Raw genomic sequence first — 9,318 nt, 5'->3', positions numbered from 1 at the left:
GGAAATGCACTGTGTATGGTTTGAGGTAGGTGTCAGTATTCAGTTTTGTCCATTTGAATATTAAATTGATCCAGCATTGTCCTGATCCCCTTGTAAATTTCACTGTAGAATAGCACTCTAATAATGCATGAGCATTTTGTATATAAGATGAGATTTACAAAGATAAGCACAGCATAGGAGGTCAAATAAAATTACCTCAAAATATAGGTTCACAAATAAACACATGGATAAGTATAATATTGTTAGATGAAGAGAAAGAAAATATTTGCAGGTTACCATTGAGTCTTTTTACTCCAAACTATTTCATGAAGCCCAAGATCTCTACTCTCTTCCATTGATTTTAACTTCATTTAGACAACTCTGTCATCTATTATTTCACTTTGTGACATTCAGAAATAATTAAAAACCAGAGAATATAGTCTATGCCATACATCATGGGTAATGATTTTCCAAAAATGATTTAAAAAGGAACCAATACACATGGTTGCAGTGTTTTCACCATATTTAATAGAAACACTATAAATGAGTTTTGATGACATTAGAATGCAACTAAGGACATTAAATATAACTTATTTGTCCTGTTTGATGAGGTGCGAAAAACAGGGCTTTCTGGGATAAACAGGTTCCCAGAGCATATAGACCCATTTCTGACTTTTCTCTGGTCAGAAGTGACTACAGCAAAAGATAGGCCATGAGTGGAGGTGAGCAGGAGCAATTAGGGATGGTGTATATCAGGGAACTTTGATCAACATCAACAAAGCTCATGGTTCTACCTTCACAATCCAGGAATAATCCCACTGTGCTGGTAGGTCTTGGAACATATTGCACCACAAGTGGGGTGGTGGTAAAGAGACTGCAGTGAGTGTCCTCCTTAACACATCCAAGAAGAAAGAGTCCTTCCTCTCCATCTATCTTGTCATTCTGTCTCTTCTCTTTCCAATAATTGTTACAGACACCAAAAGCCCAATTCCAAGAATCCCCCACGTGCACCTCCCAATAATATTTGCCAGATGTGAAAGCCTGAGCCCCCCAATACAAGAAAACATTCAGATTTTGCAGTGATATCGGGATCATCTTGAGGGTCACATCCAACATTCATGCTTCTCAAATCTCCATACAGGAAGATATGACTATTGACTCTTTCAGGCTGCAGAGTAAAATCAACTGCAAAAATAATTTTAAAAAAAATATAGATACATGTAATTAATAGAAATTAGAATTCATTAGGGAAAATTATTCTACCAAGAGTTTACTTTACCAAGATATTGGAAGTTACAAGGACAGGAGAATTGTGACTACAATATTTAATAAACTATAAGGATGATTAATATTCTCTATAGGTAGAACAAAACCCTAAAAACAGACATTGAAAATTTATTGAAAACTTAAAAATTGAGAGTCAAATATAAGACCAGCCTGTTTCAATCCAATCTCCAATGTAAAAGTGAAATATTTTATGCCCTGAATGCCCTTTAGCTATCAAGGTCATTATTATTAAAATATTTCTTGTTCTTAAATACTAGTGATACAATTTTGACAAGAATGAGAAGATTTTAGCTTACTCAAGCACCACTCCAGATAACTGGATAAAAGTCCATATGTTCAAATTATAAGTTGTAACTTAAGGCAGATTTTTGCAAAAAATTTTACCAGTCACTTTGCGGACATCCCTGCTAGCTCTAGACTGAAACCGAATTTTAGATTTTACATGTAGCTCTTCATGTTGTAACTAAACTGAAATTATCATTTCCATTTTTACTTCCTATTTACATAATAATTTCTTCTTTCTTTTTACATGTTAAGTCCAAATTTTACATTATATCAATAATATGTATTTATTGTAAGAAAGTACAAATACTCCAACAAACTTCAGTGAACTCTATTCCCCAATGAAATATGTTTAACAATTCAAATGAAATACAGTAAAGAAATGTAAATGTTTATGTAACCTTGGATTATTACACTTCCTTCTGAGCATTGTTCCATTTATTCAATTTTTTATTTCTTATGTCATTCCATTTACCCAATATATAACTCTATCCATGTGAGCCCAGAACATATTTGTTTTTCACTATGTTTTACTCTTCAGGTTATAAATTGGACTATAAATAGAAACAGGGATGTAAAAAGGTTGCATCATCATATGGTTCACTTCCTGCTGAAATGAAATAAAGATTTGATGAAGGGTAAAATATTACCCCCATGATTCTAACAAGAAGTAATACACTGTGGGAATTCTGCCAATGGGCTGACACTTACCTCTGAATCCACTGAGCCTGTCCAGCAGTCCAGTGATGGGCCCTGCACTGAGCTCTGGATTCACAGGCTCAGACACTTGCAGCAGCAGGGACTCATACCTGCAAGGAGAAAGATACAGCTACCACATCTACAGCCAAAAAAAATACATAAAAGTCACCACTTTTATTTAAAAGACATTTCATGAGAAGCCCTTTAACCCACACATTTGCTAATTCCAATATTATCATTTTCTTTTTCAAATTCATTCTTATTCACAGTTCCTGATTTTCAAGCACGATGGTAAAGTCTCTCTGACTGAGAATTCATTCGGATCTTTCTTTGTATTGCTCCAAATTAGTAAGGATCATTAGTCTTAAGACTGGGAGAATATTCAAAAATGAAATTCTGGGTTCCAGACCTCACCAGAAATTCCTGAAATCACTGTCTGGAAAAGTGGGGTTATTTTTAAGACTGCTGCATCTGTTGCTTCCTTCTCAAGGCCAGGGTGTTGAAACTTGCTCCAGGCAGGGAGATCTGCCTTTTATAGTTGAGGTTCTCTGGAGGCCTACACGGTTCAAACATTCCGAATAGTTTGTTTCATCCATTTTTCAGAATTATATATTTAAATATAAACTAGAAATCATCAACACTTTTCACTGCTAAAATACTTTCCCCTTTTCTCTCTGGCTTCCCCTGGTTGACTTTGTAACCCTGTAGTAAACGTAATATTTTCTCTTTGAAATATGAAGGCTTTTGAGCAATAAAATGGAAATTAGGAAGAGAGATGCTCACTTCCTTTATTTTTCTTTCATTTATTTATTTTTTGTTTTATTCATTTATTTATTTATTTTTTAGGTTTTACGGAACTTTCATTGAGCTGCTTAATAAAGTCACTGAGTATGGCAACAAGTGATGCCTCTGAATATCTATTTCTATAAAGGACACATGAAATTCCTGTGAGCCTATTTTCTTGGAGATTGGGTAAAGCCAACTCTGAGTCCCTTTAAGCATCTCTCTTTTGGGCTTTCTTAGCTTCAAACCTCTGAGATTTGAAGAAGAAGGGAAATAGAATAAGTGCCATTCCGAGGGACTTATTTGTCTCTCATTCTGGGCCCCCTCCCTATGAAAAGGTCTGCATGTTACTTTATTGTCTTCACTGGTGCTTCAATTTATGGCTCTTTTGCAGGAGAAGCTTTTAAAGAAAATGCAGTCTTTATGGGAAAAACCCTGTGAAAATCAGAGAAACCTGAACTTGGAAACCACCAGAATCAGCCACTGGAAGGTAGTCCTGTACTACTCTACCTTCTACCTTCTCCAGGAACTTATGGTGGGCAAATGGGTGACTCTTAAAGTAGGCACTTGATATCAAACTGTAATGTTTCTGGGAGTCAATTTAAAAAAAAAAGAAAACATTGAGAAAAGGTGGTTTCATTTCTTATGTAGAATAGTAGGACTGTTAGATAGGATTTCTAACAAAACCATTGATGTTACCCAAAGCATGCTGGTTTGCTTTCATACAAAGCTGTAGCTATACGCCAACAGATACAAGAAACTGGGCCATCTTGCAGCATTCTATATGTGCTGGTTTGATAAATGCTGGGCATAAGAGTTATTTGGCAGTCATGGAAAGCTCAAGTGAACCTTCTGAGCCTGGGTCAGCATTAATCTGAATGCTGGTGGACAAGTAGTATTTGGAATTGCATGGAAAATTTGAGGCAGAAAGAGTGACAGGGGAAATCTAGGGCAACCATGAAATTAAGAATCTCAACTAATTAATATTGAATAACACATAACCTATGGTGAGAAAAGTGGTGAGAAATATGGATTTGTGTCTTGAGGGAGACATGTAAACATGCCCGAAATATGGGAACTAGTATCTAAATATAAGGAGAACTCTGAGGACTTCAGAAAAATATTAAAAATTATTTTCTCTTTGTGGTTGTATACTTTGAGGGTATGATAGCTAATATTAGTGTGTTGAAAAGTATTTCATAAGAACCTACTCTATGTTGAATATTAAATTAGAAAATTTGCTAATATAGAAGAAAGAAAGCATCTTTGTCCTCACAAATTGTACAATCCCATTGAGAGAGGCAAAAATGGTCAACATGCAAATATGTGCAATACATGATGTGTTCGAGTGTGGTAGGTTCTTTGTTGGAGAATAATCAAGCAGGGAATAGAAAAGAATAACTGAGGCCAGAAACTGGAGATTAGTGCCTGAGTTTTAAATAGGGTGGTCAGAAAAAAGACTCACTGAAAAATTCAAATTGAACAAAGCTTTGAAGAGGAAGGGGAGGATGAAAGTGTGTATGTATATATATGTGGACCATGAGTGTGTATATATGTATATGTGTGTTTGTTTGTGTGTGTGTGTGTGTAAAATTCTAGTTGGAGTGAACAGCATATGCAGTAATTTTGAGTTTGTGTATATTTGGAGGCCGGAAGCGCCGCAAAGATATCTATGTTTCAGATTGGGGTGACTTAGAAAAAGAATGGAAGGAAATGAATTCAGAGAGACAAAGATGGCCAAATCATAAATGCAGCCTTATTAGGATAGGTTTTGCTGGGTGAAATGTATTTAGCTGGACATGTTAGTCTAACATCATTTCACATATAATGAGTTTAAGCAACTTGTTGCATATCTCAGAAATAGAAATAATTATTTCCTTTCTAGTAACTATAGCTCCATACTCCAACTCTTAAGCACGAACTGTTCTTACTTTTCCATAAATATGGGTTGGAATAGAGAAATTCAAATTGTGTTTTATTTTATTTCCAACTATCTTAGAAAACACATTATCTTGAATAAATTTAATGTAATTGGTCAGATACATCTACGTTGATCTTTATGCAGAAAGAAAGGAAAGGAAAAAAATTTGTGGATTCTAAGAACTGGCAAGACTGAGGTTTAAACTATTGGATGTTCGAGAGACAAAAGGAATCAGTGAGATTTAATAGGAGATGGATAAATACATTTCCCTTTTGACTAACCCATTATCACTGCAGGGTTATGTGAATGTAAGGCTAGAAGCTATTAGAGCTGAGTATCAGAAGATGCCTGCATTTCATCATGAAGAAGAAAAACATAATTTGGAGATGCTGAAAAAGAAGGGGAAAGATATTTTTCATCAACTTCATTTAAGTAAAGCCAAAATGGCTCATAGGAGGGAGATTTTAAGAGGAACGTATGAGGAGCTGATGAAAATGTGCCATAAACCAGATGTGGAGCTACTTCAGGTACAAACTCACAATGTGGTTTCAGGTTTTTGACTCTTCACATGTGTAAGTATTTTCCTCATGGCTGAAATCCATCTCCCTACCTTTATTTCCATGATGTGTTTCCAAAAACACATTCACATAACTAATGCTACTTTACTGGGAAAGTATAGCCCCGCCAAGGGATTCTACCAGGCCAAAGATCCCTCCTACTTTATCCACCAGCCACAAAACTTTGTGGAATGGTCAAGGTAACAGCCCCAATAACTGTTCCCCAACTAAGTCAATAATATATTTTGGGTTGTCAAACACGTATAAAATAGTGAGTGATTCATTTACATTTAGATTAATTTGAGGACATGGCAAGATCAGAAATTTTGGGAATCTAGGCTCACATTAATACTATTTTGGGATCCACTCATTTGGGTAATAGGTTCTGGGAAAGATGACTGAGTAGGTTATTCAGACTCACCCAGAAACAATGCTGCACCTGTTCCCTAGGTGTTGGTTAATCCAGTCAGACTGATACCTAAAATTCACCATCACACCATAGAAATATAATTACAACTCTTTAAGTTTCACAAAAATCCTCCTATATGTTAGTTCAGAGTTTGGGTATCCCTAGAAGTTAATTTAATCCACGAGAAAATAGAAAGCCCCAGTATCTTTAATTATTTTTTATCTTCTATTCAACCTAAATTGGTTTATTGCTGTTTTTTATTTGTTTATTTGGTTGGTTGATTGGTTTTTCCATTTGGTTTTGGTATTGGTTTTTTATTTTTATTTATTTATTTTTATTATTATTATACTGTAAGTTTTAGGGTACATGTGCACAATGTGCAGGTTTGTTACATATGTATACATGTGCCATGTTGGTGTGCTGCACCCATTAACTCGTTATTTAGCATTCGGTATATCTCCTAATGCTATCCCTCCCCCCTACACCCACCCCGCATCAGTCGCCGGAGTGTGACATTCCCCTTCCTGTGTCCATGTGTTCTCATTGTTCAATTCCCACCTATGAGTGAGAACATGCAGTGTTTGGTTTTTTGTCCTTGCGATAGTTTGCTGAGAATGATGGTTTCCAGTTTCATCCATGTCTCTACAAAGGACATGAACTCATCGTTTTTTATGGCTGCATAGTATTCCGTGGTGTATATGTGCCACATTTTCTTAATCCAGTCTATCGTTGTTGGACATTTGGGTTGGTTCCAAGTCTTTGCTATTGTGAATAGTGTCACAATAAACATACGTGTGCATGTGTCTTTATAGCAGCATGATTTATAATCCTTCGGGTACATACCCAGTAATGGGATGGCTGGGTCAAATGGTATTTCTAGTTCTAGATCCCTGAGGAATTGCCACACTGACTTCCACAATGGATGAACTAGTTTATAGTCCCACCAACAGTGTAAAAGTGTTCCTATTTCTCCACATCCTCTCCAGCACCTGTTGTTTCCTGACTTTTTAATGATCGCCATTCTAACTGGTGTGAGATGGTATCTCATTGTGGTTTTGATTTGCATTTCTCTGATGGCCAGTGATGATGAGCATTTCTTCATGTGTTTTTTGGCTGCATAAATGTCTTCTTTTGAGAAGTGTCTGTTCATATCCTTTGCCCACTTTTGATGGGGTTGTTTTTTTTTTCTTGTAAATTTGTTTGAGTTCATTGTAGATTCTGGATATTAGCCCTTTGTCAGACGAGTAGGTTGCAAAAATTTTCTCACATTCTGTAGGTTTCATGTTCAGTCTGATGGTAGTTTCTTCTGCTGTGCAGAAGCTCTTTCATTTAATTAGATCGCATTTGTCAATTTTCGCTTTTGTTGCCATTGCTTTTGGTGTTTTAGACATGAAGTCCTTGCCCATACCTATGTCCTGAATGGTATTGCCTAGGTTTTCTTCTAGTGTTTTTATGGTTTTAGGTCTAACATTTAAGTCTTTAATCCATCTTGAATTAATTTTTGTATAAGGAGTAAGGAAGGTATCCAGTTCAGCATTCTACATATGGCTAGCCAGTTTTCCCAGCACCATTTATTAAATAGGGAATCCTTTCCCCATTGCTTGTTTTTGTCAGGTTTGTCAAAGATCAGATGGTTGTAGATACGTGGCATTATTTCTGAGGGCTCTGTTCTGTTCCGTTGATCTATATCTCTGTTTTGGGACCAGTACCATGCTGTTTTGGTTACTGTAGCCTTGTAGTATAGTTTGAAGTCAGGTAACGTGATGCCTCCGGCTTTGTTTTTTTTTGGCTTAAGATTGACTTGGTGATGTGGGCTCTTTTTGGTTCCATATGAACTTTAAAGTAGTTTTTTCCAATTCTGTGAAGAAAGTCATGGTAGCTTGAAGGGGATGGCATTGAATCTATAAATTACCTTGGGCAGTATGGCCATTTTCATGATATTGCTTCTTCCCACCCATGATCATGGAATGTTCTTCCATTTGTTTGTATCCTCTTTTATTTCATTGAGCAGTGGTTTGTAGTTCTCCTTGAAGAGGTCCCTCACATCCCTTGTAAGTTGGATATCTGGGTAATTTATGCTCTTTGAAGCAATTGTGCATGGGAGTTCACTCATGATTTGGCTCTCTGTTTGTCTGTTATTGGTGTATAAGAATGCTTGTGATTTTTGTACATTGATTTTGTATCCTGAGACTTTACTGAATTTCCTTATCAGCTTAAGGAGATTTTGGGCTGAGATGATGGGGTTTTCTGGGTATGCTATCATGTCATCTGCAAACAGGGACAATTTGATTTCCTCTTTTCCTAATTGAATACCCTTTATTTCCTTCTCCTGCTTAATTGCCCTGGCCAGAACTTCCAACACTATGTTGAATAGGAGTGGTGAGAGAGGGCATCCCTGTCTTGTGCCAGTTTTCAAAGGGAATGCTTCCAGTTTTTGCCCATTCAGTGTGACATTGGCTGTGGGTTTGTCATAGATAGCTCTTATTATTTTGAGATACGTCCCATCAATACCTAATTTATTGAGAGTTTTTAGCATGAAGTGTTGTCGAATTTTATCAAAGGCCTTTTCTGCATCTATTGAGATAATCATGTAGTTTTTGTCTTTGATTCTGTTTATGTGCTGGATTACATTTATTGATTTGCGTATATTGAACCAGCCTTGCCTCACAGGGATGAAGCCCACTTGATCATGGTGGATAAGCTTTTTGATGTGCTGCTGGATTTGGTTTGCCAGTATTTTATTGAGGATTTTTGCATCAATGTTCATCAAGGATATTGGTCTAAAATTCTCTTTTTTTGTTGTGTCTCTGCCAGGCTTTGGTATCAGGATGATGCTGGCCTCATAAAATGAGTTAGGGAGGATTCCCTCTTTTTCTATTGATTGGAATAGTTTCAGAAAGAATGGTATCAACTCCTCCTTGTACCTCTGGTAGAATTTGGCTGTGAATCCATCTGGTCCTGGACTCTTTTTGGTTGGTAAGCTATTGAATATTGCCACAATTTCAGATCCTGTTATTGGTCTATTCAGAGATTCAACTTCTTCCTGGTTTAGTCTTGGGAGAGTGTATGTGTCCAGGAATGTATCCATTTCTTCTAGATTTTCTAGTTTATTTGCATAGAGGTGTTTGTAGTATTCTCTGATGGTAGTCTGTATTTCTGTGGGATTGTTGGTGGTAACCCCTTTATCATTTTTTATTGTGTCTAATTGATTCTTCTCTCTTTTCTTCTTTATTAGTCTTGCTAGCGGTCTATCAATTTTGTTGATCTTTTCAAAAAACCAGCTCCTGGTTTCATTACTTTTTTGAAGGGTTTTTTGTGTCTCTATTTCCTTCAGTTCTGCCCTTAGTTATTTCTTGCCTTCTGCTAGCTTTGGAATGTTTTTGCTCTTGCTTTTCTAGTTC

General features: G+C 36.4%; 1 pseudogene; it reads right to left on the bottom strand.

Annotated features, from left to right (window-relative positions):
• TRIM51DP (tripartite motif-containing 51D, pseudogene) lies at positions 491–1,166 on the bottom strand (annotated as a pseudogene).

Source organism: Homo sapiens, chromosome 11, assembly GCF_000001405.40.
Source record: "Homo sapiens chromosome 11, GRCh38.p14 Primary Assembly".
Classification (NCBI taxonomy): Eukaryota; Metazoa; Chordata; class Mammalia; order Primates; family Hominidae; genus Homo; species Homo sapiens.
Note: the sequence above shows the minus strand (reverse complement) of the source record. Positions and strands in the feature narration are given on the sequence as shown.